The following is a 15524-nucleotide window of genomic DNA, read 5'->3' as shown; positions in this document are numbered from 1 at the left end:
TGAGTATGGAGCAGGGACCAAACCCAGGCAGTCTGCTTCCAGAGACCATGCTCTTGGTGACAAAGGCCTGGCACAGCAGCGTAGAAAAAGGCCAGGTGTCTTGCCCAGGCATTCCGAGGCTACAGATGATCTGGCATAGCTCCTGACACCTGGGAGCTGCCCACTGGGCTTCCCTGGCCCCTCTGGGCCCAACCAGGCATCAGAGGGGCCCCCCAGACCCCCCAGGCTTCTGTTTCTTTCCCCTGCACCCTATCACTGCCTGTTTGGAGATCTTGACAGTAGATGAAGTGACAAGTCTTTGTGCTTAATTAAGACACATTGTCCCACCAATTGGGAAGCAGAAATGGCTGGGCTGTTTTACAAATAGAAACAATTCTTGTTCATTATCCCTTAATTGAGGCAACAAAGGGCTCTGGAAAACATCCATCAGAACACATTCATGAACATTAGCAGAGAGGATTCGGTTTAGGACCACACAAAAGGAAAAGCAAATGTTCCAATCAGGAGTTATACAGACAAAGGGAAACAAAGGCCTGGAAGCACAAATACTACAGAATTAGCCCAATTACACACTTGATGTGGTGGGGAACAAGTTTCCTGGCTTCTGGCCAGCTCTTCTCTTTGCCTCTTGTTACCTTCTTCCTTTTCCCTGGTACCAGATGGAGAGGGGCAAGAAAGGAACCTCAGAGACCCTCTGCGAACCTGGCTTTGGTCCCCAGGTTGGGGAAGTGATGGGTTAACAGAGAGTCTTGAGGGACCCAAAACTAATCTGAATTCCAGATGTGGTCTGCCTGTAATTGTCACCTCCTTCATTTTGGTCACTATACTTCTTGTGATGCAACCTAAGATACTCTGTCCCAGTATGGATTTTAAGGTCAGCTTGTGGTTGGCTAAAGCTGCTGAACTGTTTTTACAACTTTTTTTTCAGGCTGGGTATTCCCCATCCTATATTTACACAATTGCATTTTGGGGTCCAAACAAGGAGTTTATATCCATTCTTGTTTGTACCAGCGCATTTGTCTGGTCACTCAGTGGAGTTGAGTGGATGTGGCCTCCTGGGACCACTACCCAGAACTATTCTTGGAAGCAAGCCTGCTTGTCTCTCTCCTCCAGGTTCTCTTGGGAGCTAGGTAAAGAGAAGCTTGCACACGTTAAGATAGGAAAAGCTTTTAAAAAATCGTTCCTGATTGGTTAGGAAATGACTGATCCTTGTGTCAGAGACATTCGAACCAGGGCAACTCCATCTCGAATGGTGCTGGGTAAAATGAGGCTGAGACCTACTGGGCTGCATTCCCAGATGGTTAGTCATTCTAAGTCACAGGATGAGATAGGAGGTCGGCACAAGATACAGGTCATAAAGACCTTGTTGATAAAACAGCTTGCATTAAAGGAGTCGGCTAAAATCCATCAAAACCACGATGGTGACAAGAGTGACCTCTGGTCATCCGTCCTCACTGCTACACTCCCACCAGTGCCATGACAGTTTACAAATGCCATGGCAATATCAGGAAGTTACCTTATATGGCCTAAAAAGGGGCGGCATAAATAATTCACCCCTTGTTTAGCATATTATCAAGAAATAATTATAAAAGTGGGCAACCAGCCTCCCTCAGGGTTGCTCTGTCTATGGAGTAGCTATTCTTTTATTCCTTTACTTTCCTAGTAAACTTGCTTTCACTTTACTCACCCTGAATTCTTTCTTGCTCGAAATCCAAGAACCCCCTCTTGGGGTCTGGATCGGGGCCCCTTTCCGGTAATATCTTTCTTGCGACCACTGAAGAGACTATAGTGCCGAAACCCCGACCCAAAGGCTAACTTTGGGTGAGTGGTGGGGTCTGGTAATATCTTTCTGGTGAACCACAGAAGGGACGATACTGAAGAACAACCCCCACATCGCCCCCCTCCCACCCCCGCAACCATCTGAAGGAAATAGACTGCAGCACTGATTGGCTGACTTTGGGTAAGTGATGGTGTACCCAGGTAAAGGGTGGGATTGGGTTAGAGGCCCAACTTAGGGGAGTTGGAGTCTAGCCTAAGACACAGGGTTAAAGGCTCTTCCCGATAAAAGGCAAGGACGCTTGACCAACCTTGGGTTTGAGGACCAACTTAGGAGGGTTAGAGTCCTTCCTAAGACTTAGGGGGTTAGAGGCCCTTTTCAGTAAAGTCCCTCTTGGCTAAGAACAGGTTTGGCACTATGGGATGGCAACTGCTATTCTCTTGGATGAATCTGTCTTGGACTCTTTGCTGATGGTAATGGGTGACAGGGTTAGGCATGTACAGGATCGTGGGACATGGGGAACTTTTTCCTCCCTAAAAGGGGAAACTTGAGAACTGATGGGACTGCTGGAAAAGATCCCTTCAGGACTGAGAAGCAGCTGCCTGAACTTTTCAGTGTTGCTGCAATGGGTGGCTCTTTCCCTGGCCTCCCTGAGTGCCTCGCCTTCCCCACCCTGCGTCAGGTAAAGCTTCTCTCTCTCTCTCTGTGCAAACTGGTGGAATGAATGGTAAAAATCACCGTTTATCTCCTCTGTAAAGTTTTGATTAATGGAAAAAAGGATTTGTGAGGCTAGTCTTAAGCTGTAGTGAATCTGGTGTGCTTTGTGTGTCTTTCTGTATGGTTCTGTCATGGAGAGGGATACCTTAGGATAGAATGTGGGCCTAGGACACCTATAAGTCCACTGTTCAAGACAGCCTAGCAAACTGGTCAGTTACAAACTTTGTTGCTGGTCCCTAAAAAAAAAAAAAAAAAAAACTGGATGAGGTTTCCCTCTTGTCTTGCATGTCTTTGGGAGCTTGACCTTGTAACCTTTTGGCCATGCTTTCTCTTTTCACAATGGAGGCCTGGATTCAGGGTTCAATCGCTAGCTTAAGGGATGAGCCTTTCTGATTGATATTTGGGTGTCCTTTGCAATTTTAAAATTCTCTTTCCCTCCACAAACCGTCTTAAATTTTCCTTTCTCAGAGCCCCTGTGAGGTTACTTTTGGTAAAGTTTAAAAGCCAGAAATATCGGTCATTTGGCCTGGCTAACGTCGGGTAATAAGAAATTTAAAAGGACTTTTCAAAAGAATGCGATAGTCAAAAGTCAGCTTAATTAAAAGCAGATATTCAAGTTCTAACAGCCCTAGGGATTCCTTAGGAAAAACAGAAGAGGCACTAAAGACCCCGTTTTGGGAAAAACCTGTTTTCCTCATGAAACCTTAGGAATTGAAAGTGAATAGATCCCTTTCAAAACCTAAGGTTCTGTTTTGTTTTGTATTGCGTTATCTGATGTTTTTTTACTTTTGGTGGTATCAGAAGTTCCTTCGCATTATGAGAGAACTTTGGTGTGTAGTAAGTAGGCAGGAAATATACTTTTAGGGATGTGTAATAGCAGTTATGGGGGAAACTTGGTTTTCACACATTTGGATCAGAGAAGCATGATCTTGGCCACCTGGGAAACGTGGAGATGTCCCCACCCGCTACTGAGAAATAAAACTCCCAAGGGTTGATGGGCTAAGTCCCTCTTTTTGGGATCCAGGATCTGGTATAAAAATGGGACCCTTAAATTTTGGGGATCTGTTTTGCCTTCCAGCTGTGCATGCTTATGAGGCCCTAAAAACTGCACACCTTAAAGAGAAACTTAGAAACTGGTGAGTAAAAAAACCTTACAACTACATAATCTTCTGTCTATCTGGGTATTTATATATATTGTGTGTGTGATGTTTATATCTAAAAGAGCTTTACTTAATTGGTTTTAAAATAATAAGAGCTTAAATCAAATATTTTAAAAGAAAAAATTGTAATGCCTTTTAGTTCACATGACTTTAATAATCTTTGGGAAATAAAAACAGCTTTAAAGATTATTGGTAAAATAAAGACATTTGGTCTAAATTAGGCAGGTCAGATCTTAAGTTTGCTAAATGCTTTAAGGTCATAAACTGCTTCTTTGACTTTTAAAAATTGTTCAATTTATTTTGAAGCATTAGATTTAGATAAGGCCTGGGGATGTGGGGTGTTAGCCCTGCCCCCTAGCTGTGCTGAAAAAAGACCGACCTTATCTAGTGTCCTAGGCTCCACACCTAGTACATAATTAAAATTGCATACTTACCAAGGTTTTCACCAAAAGCAAAAGTTACTAAGAGTTAACAGTGTAACATGTATTTGAGGCTACTGAAGAAATGGTTTTACATGCACCGTGTGTAAGAAAAGGGAAATGTGTGTTTGGTAAAAGATTATAAGAAATCATGGGAATGTGGATTTTTCTTGCCTAAATTAAAGGGTTAAAGGATTGTTTTAAGTCAGGTAAGATAAAGCCGAAGGTTTAAGCAAGTTGTGAAAGGTTTGTGAAAAATTAATTGTAAAAGAAATTCTGTGTGTGGACATTGGCTAAAATTAAATGGGTATTATTCAGTTTTCCCGTAAACTGAACATTGAATAACAGCACAACAGGTTTTTCTTAGAGCACTAATCTGCTCTTTAACAAAAAATTGCAAAGGGTTAGAAAAGGTTTATGAGAATCTTATGGTCAAACATAAAATTGGATAGATTTACTTATAAAATTTTATTAAGAATTGGGTTTAACATTAATAGCACACTAATATAAAGGTGAAATTTGGCTTATTTGGTATAAAAATCATACAGAAAGCACTGTCAAATATGAAATAGTATTTGGCTTTCTTTGAGCTATATTTGTATAAATATGTTATTGGTATGTGTTTCAAAATAATGGGAAACTCCTATAATTCTCTTACGGCTTAGTGTAGGTTATTAATAATTATAATTGTTACATAAAATCATTGTATGCCACAGAAGTAACCAAATTTCTTTGTCAATCGTGTTTTTTACTGTGGCTGTCCTAAAATGTTTTGTCATCCATGGACAACTGTTGCTTTGTTTTAATCCTCTTTAGAAGGTGGTTTATAATCAGCTATAAACTCTAATAGGTGTTCTTAAATGCAGGTTTCTGATAACTTTGGAAACCGTGATATTAGAATAGAGGAAAAAACTTTCAGGACGTTCATGGAGAGCTGAAATGTTCATGAATATCCAACAAAACAGGAGTTAACTGCATGGACTGAACTTTAACTAGAAGATTAAAGTAATCTTTTTGACTTTTTGCTTAAAACGTTGCTAATCCTTCGTTTGTTTTTCAGAGCCAAGAAAACTTTTCTTTTGAGCTATTTACAGCTTTAAACAATTGAGTAAAGTATATTCTTGTGAAAAAAATTTGAGCATATTTGTTTCTCTCTACCTGATTTCTCCAAAATTCAGAAATTATCTGTGAATAGCTTAACTTGTGGCAATATAGAGAAACTGGCTATTTTACCAAGGCTTTGACTGGAATGGTGTGTTTTCCTTTAAGGAATTAAACTTGACTTAGAGAGCCAATAAAAGGCCCTTGGGAAAAATGGTCTTGTACCTTGTGTACACAGTCCCTGTACAGGGTTCTTGACTTGTGGTAAGTGAAGAATGTCACTTTCTAACAGGCCCAGGAGCCCCAGGTAATCTTGGAACCTCAAGAGGAGCCCCAAGTTATCTTGGAGCCTCAGGAGGAGAGGAATTTACTCAACTCTTAGGTATTTCATGGTACAAACTCATGGCTGGGCTGAGCTTTAAAAAAGTCTTATCTGAGATTCCTTATGGAACAGAGTTCCATCAAAGCCAATTAAAAAGTCTATGTGAAAAATAATTATTCTTGCTGTATTTTATACAAATAATTAGGCCAAGTATACTAAAGCAAATCAGTTTTAACTGTGATTTGTCTTTAGTAAAAATAGGAAACTGGAGAGAGAAATTACCTTTCAAGAACTATGGTACACTTGTTATTAGATTCTAGTCTCATGGGTTATTTTTGAGTTTTTTCCTGCAACTTAGGCTGACCCTACTTATTCCTGTGAACTAACCAGTGATCTTTGGCTGCTGCTCAAAAAAAAAAAAAAACAAAAAACAAAAAAACAAAAACCAAAAAGGATGAGTAATGTAAAAAGTTGGATCAGTATTCTAATTCTGGACACATTGGAATCAGCTAGAAACCCCATATCAGCTTAGTTCCAACAGTTGCCCAGTTTATGGAAAGCCTTCTTATTTAGTGTACTTGGAATAATTTTTACTTATTTTGCTTTACTGTTTTGGAATATATTGCTGTTGTACTCCTTGTATAGGAATGCAAGACAAGCTTACACACGGTTTTCTTAAATTAAACACTTACTAATCTTCAAGATATCACCTTTTGTTGGAACTCAAGAGTTACGAATGGCCCTCAGCATACCAATGCTTTCTGACTGAGCTACTCTCTACCATTAAGACCCAATAGTTGGGCAGGAATATCATTGCCCCTATTCAGCCTGAAGAAGTTATGGAAGATGGGTCTTCATCCTTCTGCAACCCTTAGAATTAAGGATTTTCTTATAACAGGGATAGGGAAAATGTCAGAAGACTTTGAACCAGAGCAACTCCATCTTGAATAGGGGCTGGGTGAAATGAGGCTGAGATCTACTGGGTTGTGTCCCCAGATGGTTAGTCATTCTAAGTCACAGGATGAGATAGGAAGTCAGCACAAGATACAGGTCATAAAGACCTTGCTAATAAAACAGACTGCAATAAAGAAACCAGCCCAAATCCACCAAAACCAAGATGGTGACAAGAGTGATCTCTGGTCATCCTCACTGCTACACTGCTACCAGTGCCATGACAGTTTACAGATACCATGACAATATCAAGAAGTCACCCTATATGGTCTAAAAAGGGGCAGCATAAGTAATCCGCTCCTTGTTTAGCATATAATCAAGAAATAACCATAAAAAATAGGCAACCAGCAGCCTCAGGACTGCTCTGTCTATGGAGTAGCCATTCTTTTACTCTTTCACTTTCCTAGTAAACTTGCTTTCACTTTACTCTGTGAACTCTGTTCTGAATTCTTTCTTGTGTGGGATCCAAGAACCTTCTCTTGGTGTCTGGATTTGGACCCCTTTCTGGTAACACTTGCACAAAACTTGGAAATCACCAGGAAATACAAAAAAGCAGAAGTAAATAAATGGATCCCCCTGAGCAGCAAGTCAGTTTCTGTGAACAATTTTGTTTATTTCCTTCTAGTCTTTCTTTCAAGCACATTTTCCCATTTGTGGTTGAGAACATGCAACCTGTGACCTCCACTCTGTAACCTGTCTTTTCCCCTCTACATTTTAACCATCTGCATTTATTCATGTGATTGGAAACTCTTTCTAATCATCATTTTAGCGACTGCACAATGTTCCATCATATGGATGTGCCATAATTTTTTCCACTCTTCCTTATCCCGGAACATGTGGGTTGTTTCTAGCTTTGTTTATTATGAGTGATTCTGTCTTGGGCATCTTTGTGCAGAGAGTGCTCATGTGTCAGATTAGTTCTCTGAGACAGATTCCTCGCAGTGAAATTGTAGGAGTTAAAATAACTATTTTAAGGGTATTGCTACATATCGCCAAATTACTTTGAAAAAATCTACGCCAATTTATACTCTCACTAGCAAAGTAGGACAGTAGTTGTTCCAGTTTTTTTGTTTGTTTTTTAGAGATGGAGACTTGCTCTGTCACCCAGGCTGGAGTGCAGTGGTGCAATCATTGCTTGCCACTGGAGCTCTTGGGCTCCAGTCCTCCTGCCTCAGCTTCCTGAGTAGCTGGGACTACAGGTACGGTTCCAGTTTTGTAGCACAGATGTTCCTTGAGTTGCAATGGGGCTACGTCCTGATAAACCCACAGTAAATCGAAAATATTGTTAAGCTGAAAATGCATTTAATCCACCTAACCTACTGAACATCAGAGCTTAGCTTAGCCTGCCTTAAACATGCTCGGAACACTTACATCAGCCTACGATTGGATAAAATCATCTAACACACAGCCTATTTTTTTAATAGTGTTGAATAGCTCATATACTGCATACGGCTAGCCCGGGAAAAGATCAAAATTCAAATTCAAAGTATGTCAAAATTATGATGGTTTCACACCATCATAAAGTTGAAAAATTGTAAGTTGAACTATCCTAAGTCAGAGACCATCTGTATTTATTTTGGCAGTATGTATATGCGTGTTGGGGTGTCGAGGGGAGAGTTAGCATATATCTCACGTGTTTATCTGGCTCTAGGAAAGGGAGAAATCGCCCTGCACCCCCACCGCACTACAGGGGGCTTCCTCCAAGCTGCATAATCAGCTGCCTGCTTCTCCCCAGTCCCCGCCCCCTCTGCATTCCTCCCGATTTGCCTAAACCTGGTGTAAACTCTGTCCCTCTCCTGTGACAGTTCAACCCTCACTCCTTTTTCCTGTCTGCCCCACCCTCCTTGGAGGCTGGGTCTATTGTTCCAGGACACCCACGCACTGTGTTCAAATCCTTCTCCTGCCCCCTGCCCTAACGTCTGCCTGTGTGACCTGGGCAAGTTATTTCATCTCCCTGTGCCTCCGTTTCTTCCTCCGTAAATGGTGATAAAAATCGTGCCTACCTCCTTGGGCTGTTGTAAGAATTAAAGGAATTCAACATATGTGAAGCATGAGCACATAGTAAGCACTGATTTGTGTTGGAACCATCTGCTTCCATTGCGGGGGGTTTGTAGACTTTATTGTAGGTTTGGGTCCCGCAGGGAGCCTGTGGCCCTGTCTATCTTCTACCTCTCTGCGTTCCCAGCAGGGCAAACAGAGTGGGCCCTTCATCCTCCACAAGAGCAGCTTCTGTGGTGACACCAACGCCTGGTATGCGGATGCAGCTCCAGTAAGCTCTCCGTACCTCCCACCCTTTGAGCCCAAAAGTGATTGTTTGTCATCACCCCAGGCAGGTTTTGGGGAAGCTGACAGCAGAGAATGGCTAGCAGGATCATCGGACAGCTAGATGTTCTCAGGGCAGCTGGGTCCTGCCTTTTGCAGGCAGAGAGGAAACAGTCTCCAAGTCAGAGGCTCCCAGAGGAGTGCTTGGCGGAGGCTCCTGCTGTCTTGCACCACCCAGGGAGACAGCCACTGGGCCCTTCCTTTTAGGATGCCAGCGGTTGTGGTCCTGACCCATGTGGAGAGTGGTCAGGCCAGCAGGGGATGGACTAGCCAAGTCTGTCTAGGGGAGCCAGGTGCTCAGGGGATGGGTTACCCAAGGGCTAATAACTGACCAAGCCTTTCAGATGATGCAGTCTGAGGCCAAGCACTCCCTTGTATCTCAGACCTAGAACTGGCCTCCCTGTCTGCCAGCCACTTTCACTGTTTAAGCATGAAGGATTTAGCCCAGGTGGGTAGGGGGAGTGGCTCTCAGCACGATCTCCAGGACTGCCCCACGGTGGGCCTGCCCTCCTGCCATCACAGGGAAGCCAGGGAATCTGAAAGCCCGGATGTTCCTGCTGGAACCACACCAGCAGGCCTCGAAAGTCCCATTGCTACTCTTAACCCTCGGAGCTGTGACCATGTGCACTCAGGCAAGATGTGATGTGGACAGCAGGAGGGAGGCCCCAACAAGCTCTGCTTTCACTGAAAGGCTCGTCATGGAGACACTGGGTTTCGGCTGCAGCAAAAGCACCGGCAGGGCCTCTTGCTCTCTTCTGTGTTCTGGATCTCAGCCTGTGCATGTGAGTGGCTGAAGCAGAAATCCTACCCAGAACTGGTACTGTGAGGGAGCCTCGGAAAGGCTGAGCCCACCTCCAGCTTCTGCGTCGTGGGGAGCACAGCAGAGGATGTCTTTCTCCACCTGCTTCATCCACCCAAGTGCTGCCGTCCCGCCATCGAGGGGCATCAACTGTCCTCTCTGCCTTAGTGACATCTATCTCCTGTGACAGACAGGATCATTTGCTCCCAGGGTGGGGTAGTGTCAGGCCCGGGGGAATTCAGACCAAGACCTGCTCCCCTCTGCCTCTCCCTTGGTAAAGCTGGGAGAACATCTCTCCCTTTTTCTTGTACTTTTCTCACAACCAGGTCCCTTGGACTCTTACCTTCAGCACCAGTGCTCTTAAAAATATTTCCTGCAAACAGAGACAGTGCTGTCCCCAAGAGGAATTCTGGAGATGAAAAGATTTTCCATCTCATTACAGGTGTAATTGCTCTTTTCTCCCTTTGTTTGCAAGCCATACAAATGCGCACAGAAGGCTTACACAAGAAAAGGAATTTACTGGCTCATAGAACAAAAAAGTCTGAGGTGGACTTTAGGTGTGGCTGGATGCAGGTGCTTCAGTGATGTCATTGGCCCTCTCTCTTTTCTCCTTGTCTCTGCTCTGCTTTCCTCCACAGTGCTCAGGAAAAAAACTCCCAAAGAGGTGGCAAAAATGGTCATTATCAACTCTTTGTTTTCATTTCACAAGATTGGTCATCCCAGCAGAAAGAACATGTCTGCTTCCCAAGAATTTTCACCAAACTCCCAGAGTGGATTTTTATTGGCCCAGCTTAGGTCAATATCCCTAAGTCAAACACTGATTGGCTGGGCCTGGATCAGGTGCCTGCCTCTGATTGCACCGTGGTGGGTCCCATCTGGCCCCCCGAATGGAGGATGATGGACAGATGCTGTTGCCACATGGTCAGCTGCGATTGTCTCCACTGCAACTGCCCAACCTCTGTCCCAGTCACTGGATCCATCCTCAGTGCTCTGCTCTTCCTTAATGCACCCGGGGATGGCACCTGCTTCCCAGGTTGTTGTGGGCAGCAGAGCACTGGTGGGGTGGGGTCTCCAGATGGGCATTATGGGCTTGGCCCTGGGACATGCCTTGCTTTCAGGCCCCCACCTAGTGTCCCCTCTCCTGGGCTTTGAGATTTGGGGCCTTTCCAGAACAGTGAGGGGTGAGGCAGGATAGAGAGATTGTGGTTGTCACATGGAAGGCACCCCCCGGTTATCACTGGGGGTGGTGTGGACATATGGAGGCTCCACCTTAAGGCCACACCACCTGTTGTGGTCCTTGCATTCTCCAGCTTGTTTCTATCATGTCCTGAAGACATTCACACCAGCACAGGGCTGGAGATGCCAAGAGCTCCTGCAGCTCCCTGAAGACTCTGCTTCCAGGGGGTGTTTTGGAAAAAATCTTCCCTATCACCTTCAGCTTTTCCTCTCTGTCCCTCCCACAGTGGTCAGCATTCACTTTCTAAAGCTTGGCCTGACTTCACTCCAGGCTGGAGCCCCTGTGGATGTCTCTGCTGCATGGACTCTGGTGACTGAATCTGCACCTCTGTTCTGAATTCACCCCGGGGTGCCGGCCACTAGCGTTTAGGCCATTTAGGCCCTTCCTGACTCTGGGCCTTCCCCTGGGGGCCCTGGTAGGAACCCTCTGCCTCCTTTAGACCCCACTCCCATCCCCTGGGGCCACCTACTTCTGTCTTGCAGGGCATCTGCTTCTATATCACTCTGCAACCACACTTCCCTGGTCTGCCTGTCCCTCTCCCTCAGAGATGCTGTTCCCAGTGACTCTTGCGGGATGACAAAGCACCAACAAAACAGTGCCTTAAGACAACAGCAGTCACATTGTTGTCTCTGGTGGGTGGTGCTGGACTGGGCTGGCTCAGCATCTCCCGTGTGGTTGCTGCCAAGTGCAGAGGTGGGTGCAGCTGGGCTGGCTGTGTCTCTGCATGGTCTTAGGGCTCCTCTGTGTGTCTCTGAGCCTGGGCTATTTGGACTTCCTCTCAGCATGGTGGCCTTAGGCAGCTGGACTGCCAATGTGGTGGCTCAGGGCTTCTAGGGCTTGTTCTCCAGGGAGCAGACACCATGATCCAGGTTTTATGATCCAGGCTTGGAAGTCAAAGAGCATCACTTCTGCCATATCTGTTGGTTTAAACAGCTACAAAACCCATCAATCCCAGTCATTTGTAAGAAGAGAAGGTGGGACAGGAGATCTTGTCATGGTTGTCTTTGGACAACTCCTCTGCACAGGTGAGGAGGGAGGAAGACACATCTCTGGGTCCCCAGGAGTGGCCAGCACAGAGTCAGCCCCAGCCATGCCCAGGGAATTCTCTGCCCCTTCCCCATGTTGGGGGAAATCACAAATTCTTCCTCAGTGAAGAAAGTTTACACCCCCATAGCATCTGAGGGTCAAAGGTGCCTTCCAGGAACCCGATTTGTCCTCCCTAGCTCCCTCTGGGACCCATTCTCTGCAGCCCTGGGGAGTGGAGCCTGCATGGTCTCCTGAGCATCACTGCAGTGTTGCTCTTCCTACCTCCAGGGAGATCCTGAGAGAGCCCGAGTGTGCCCGGTGTGGATCTCAGCCCCACTGCTTTGGAGCTGGGAGACTCTAACACACAACTTAACCCGAGTCTCCATTTCTGCACTTGCAAAATGGTGATAATAATCCCCTCTTCTTAGAGCCGCGGCCAGGATCGATGGAGATAATAGATGAGAAAATACTTGGCTGGGGCAAAAGTGCAGTCTCGGCAAGAGTGTTCTTCCCCAGCACCCCTCCCATCTGATGCAGGACTTAATGAGAGCTGGCTGCTCCCTGGGATCTTTAATTAATTGTCCCAGCCCCACAGCCCCAGTGCTAGCAGATTAAACCCAGCCACGGTGGGGAGTAGGCTGCGGACAGCTTTGGATGCAAATGCCTGAAGCGAAGGATTTCTGCCTGTGAAATGGCTGAGTGGGTGATTTTAGAGCAGCTGCGCCCGGGGCTGCCCCCAGGGAGATGAGCCTCCGAGCCCTCAGCAGAATCAGTGCAGCCAGAGGGTGCCCTTTTCTTACCAACTCATCTCCGGTGCCTGTGGGGTGGGAACCTCGGCCTGCCAGCTCCAGCCCCAGCCCCAGCCCCAGCCCCAGCTCCAGCGTGCCTTGGCCAGCCCCAGAAACAGGAGGGAGGATGCAGGCAGATCAGTTCCACAGTGACCTAGAGGTAACCATCCAGGTGCCCTCCAGGTTCCCCAGCTGTTTCGTTCCCGAGGCGGTGCTCCGCCCGCCCTCTGCCCTCCAGCTCCTCCTGCATCAGACCTCGGCCTAGCCTTTGCTGTCCCCATGGCTTGGGATACTGTTTCCTGGCTGTCACAGCAGGGCTGTGTCCTCTGCAGCCTCCAGGGCTCCATGTGAGTGTCTGTCCTCGAGGGACATCCTTCTGGACACCCCCAGGCTGCTCTCTGCCTCGCCTGCACAGCTCCTGCAGCAGAGCCTGGAAAGCTCCCTCTGACTTGGTGTTTTGTCACCTCGCCCGCTGGTTATCAGCCCCATGGAAGCCTGGTGTCGGTGCCTGGGACCAGCTACAGGGGCTCTCAGGAGGGCCTGGACCGGGTCTGGGGCAGGGAGGGAGGAGCAGGAGCAGGCAGAGGAGACACCGAGCTTCACTGCTGGCACAAGGACAGCCAGGACTCCCTTTGGGCCTGGGACTGGAGTAGACCAGAGCTGTCCTGAGCAGGGGGTTGTCCAGGCCTGTGTGGCTCAGTCATAGGACATGGGCCTGGGGAGGATGGCACAGGGGTGCTGTCTGTCTGCAACTGGGGGTGATGCTGAGCACGTCTGGTTACAGCCCCTAGCAGCTGGGCAGTGTATCCTTCCATGAAGCAGGTCTGAGGCACATCCCTGCATCTGCCACAGAGGTAAGTGCCTTCACCTCTAAGTAGACAAAGCACTTGTAACACAGTGGGCGCTTAGTTACTCTTTGGCTGGCTGTACAGGATCTAGTCCCTACTAAGCACCCCAATTCTGATAACTTTTGGTTGTCCATGTCTGAGTCCCTGTTCTGCAGGAAACGGCACCCACACTATGGAGCCCAGGGTCCTGTGCTGGGAGCTTCCCGCAGCCTCTGTGCCTCCTCCTCCCCACTGGCCAGGGGGTCCCACTGTGTCTATTATGGATGAAGAGGTGAAGGTGTGGGCCCCAGGACGTGGTGCTCCAACCTCTGTGCTCACTGCCATGCTCAGCATGGCTCCCTGGGAGCCTGACCCTGAGGTGTGGCATGGACGAACCCTGGGCTGGGCTTCCTCCCTTTGCCCCTGGCCTTTACCCAGCACGAGCACCTCTGGGAAACACCCCAACCCCCAGGACAGTCTGAGTTCCTGCACCCTTCAGCCCGGGCTTGCCTGAAGATGGCTGTGTCTTTCAGCACCTGCATCTTCAGTGACTCCCCAGACTCCCCGCAGTCCCCACTCCCCACCTCCCTGGGCCCACGGTATGCAGCCACACCCAAGGCAGCCCAAGTCCCAGTAGCAACACCACACATTCCCAGAACGCTTACGCTGGGCCAAATTCAGCCTGTGCCTCTCCACAGCCAATCCTGCACTTGCCGGCCCCTAACTCTGTAGCTGCACACAGGGCCTGGGCACTTGAGACCTCAGACTCGCCACCGGCTCCTCAGAGCCCCTGCCCAGGTCACCTGTGTAAGGAGAACACAGTGCCAATGCAGCACAGCATAGTGACACCCGGCCTGCCGGGATTTAGCCCCCACCCTACCTAGCGGTTCTGGAGCTGCCACTGTGACCCATGCAGGGTCGAGCATCCCAGGTGAGTGCAGAGCCCCTGACCCGGGGATGTCACTGCTCTGTGGGACTGTCAATAGTGATACAGGAATAGAATCAAGGGACATAGGGGCAGCTCTGCCAGCACAAACCATCAGTAGCATCCAGCTTGGGGTTGCACAGCATCAGAAAAGCCTTCCTGGAGGAGGTGGAGTCTGAGCTGCCTCTTTAGGGTAAGTCTTTTAACAAGAAGAGGACCAAAAGGGTGGGCTACGCTGGGGGTGCAGAGGTGTGGGCTGTTTTCAGAACACCTGGGCTTGGGGTGAGCTGTGGGGGTGGGAGGTCAGGCTGTGGAGATGTGGCTGCTGCTGGGGCCCCTGTGCCTGCTGATGGGGTGTCTCTGGTACCTGGAACCAGGTGGAGCAGGTGGGAGTGGCCTGACGGGGTTAATGCCCACCTGGTCTCCCCAAAAGCCTTTGGAATCCTCACTCAGGGTCCAAGGACACCCTTCAAGCTGGCCCTGCCCATTCCTCCAGGCTCCCACCAGGGCTCCCCCACATCTGTGTTCCCCAGACACTCTGGCCTTCTTTCAGGCCCTCCCAGCCACTGCTGGGCCTTAGCACTTCTAGAACGTTCTCCTCTGCTCCCCTGCACCCCACTACCAAGTCTTTGTCCAGTTAACTGCATCACATTCTTTGGGTTTGAGCGTCATCTGCACTGGCTCAGGAAGCCCTTCCTGGCCCCAGATGGGATGACCCTGCCCTGTCCCCTCTCCCGAGGGGCTTGCACATCTTGGTGCTCTCACGGTGGTATGCCCTGTGACTCTTAGAGTTCCTGGCGCACTGTAGGGACTCAGGAAATACTTGCCATGCGAGCGGAAGAGTGAATGGATGGATGAGTCACCATTCTTGTGGTGACCTGAGGGCTAGCTGGATCCCAGGCCAGACAGAGAGCCCAGGAGAGTGGGGTCTGGGTCTCCTCGCCTTCATTGTGTCCTTGGCTCCTACCAGGCATCCGGAGTCTAGCGGGCACTCAATAAGTATGTGATGAGATCGTATTTTGGTGTGTTAAAAATTATTTTTTTGTCTATCCTAATTCCTCTTTGACTAGTAGTTATTCCCCTATTAAAACCTGACCATGGGCTGGGCGCGGTGGCTCATGCCTGTAATCCCAGCACTTTGGGAGGCTGAGGC

At 47.9% G+C, this 15524-nt stretch overlaps 1 long non-coding RNA gene across 1 annotated transcript in view, besides 3 other annotated features; it reads left to right on the top strand.

Moving 5' to 3' along the window:
* Positions 927–2126: an enhancer, noted in NCBI's record as "BRD4-independent group 4 enhancer chr3:127121540-127122739 (GRCh37/hg19 assembly coordinates)". NCBI's record gives its function as "activates an origin of replication core promoter dependent on BRD2, P300/CBP, MED14 and CDK7 cofactors, and independent of BRD4, by STARR-seq in HCT116 cells {active_cell/tissue: HCT116}" and the evidence as "EXISTENCE:reporter gene assay evidence [ECO:0000049][PMID:35650434]".
* Positions 9116–9982: an enhancer, noted in NCBI's record as "H3K27ac-H3K4me1 hESC enhancer chr3:127113684-127114550 (GRCh37/hg19 assembly coordinates)". NCBI's record gives its function as "activates a minimal SCP1, AML or CMV promoter by ChIP-STARR-seq in naive H9 embryonic stem cells {active_cell/tissue: H9 hESC(naive)}" and the evidence as "EXISTENCE:reporter gene assay evidence [ECO:0000049][PMID:30033119]".
* Positions 12320–13131: an enhancer, noted in NCBI's record as "H3K27ac-H3K4me1 hESC enhancer chr3:127110535-127111346 (GRCh37/hg19 assembly coordinates)". NCBI's record gives its function as "activates a minimal SCP1, AML or CMV promoter by ChIP-STARR-seq in primed H9 embryonic stem cells {active_cell/tissue: H9 hESC(primed)}" and the evidence as "EXISTENCE:reporter gene assay evidence [ECO:0000049][PMID:30033119]".
* Positions 14153–15524, top strand: part of LINC02016 (long intergenic non-protein coding RNA 2016) — a 68364-nt gene continuing 66992 nt past the window's right edge. Inside the window, exon 1 of the long non-coding RNA NR_110147.1 lies at positions 14153–14377. This is a non-coding gene — a long non-coding RNA (long intergenic non-protein coding RNA 2016). The remainder of the gene's footprint in view (positions 14378–15524) is intronic.

Source organism: Homo sapiens, chromosome 3 (genome assembly GCF_000001405.40).
Source record: "Homo sapiens chromosome 3, GRCh38.p14 Primary Assembly".
Lineage (NCBI taxonomy): Eukaryota > Metazoa > Chordata > Mammalia > Primates > Hominidae > Homo > Homo sapiens.
The sequence above is the reverse complement of the archived record's forward strand: the minus strand, read 5'-3'. Positions and strand labels throughout refer to the sequence as shown.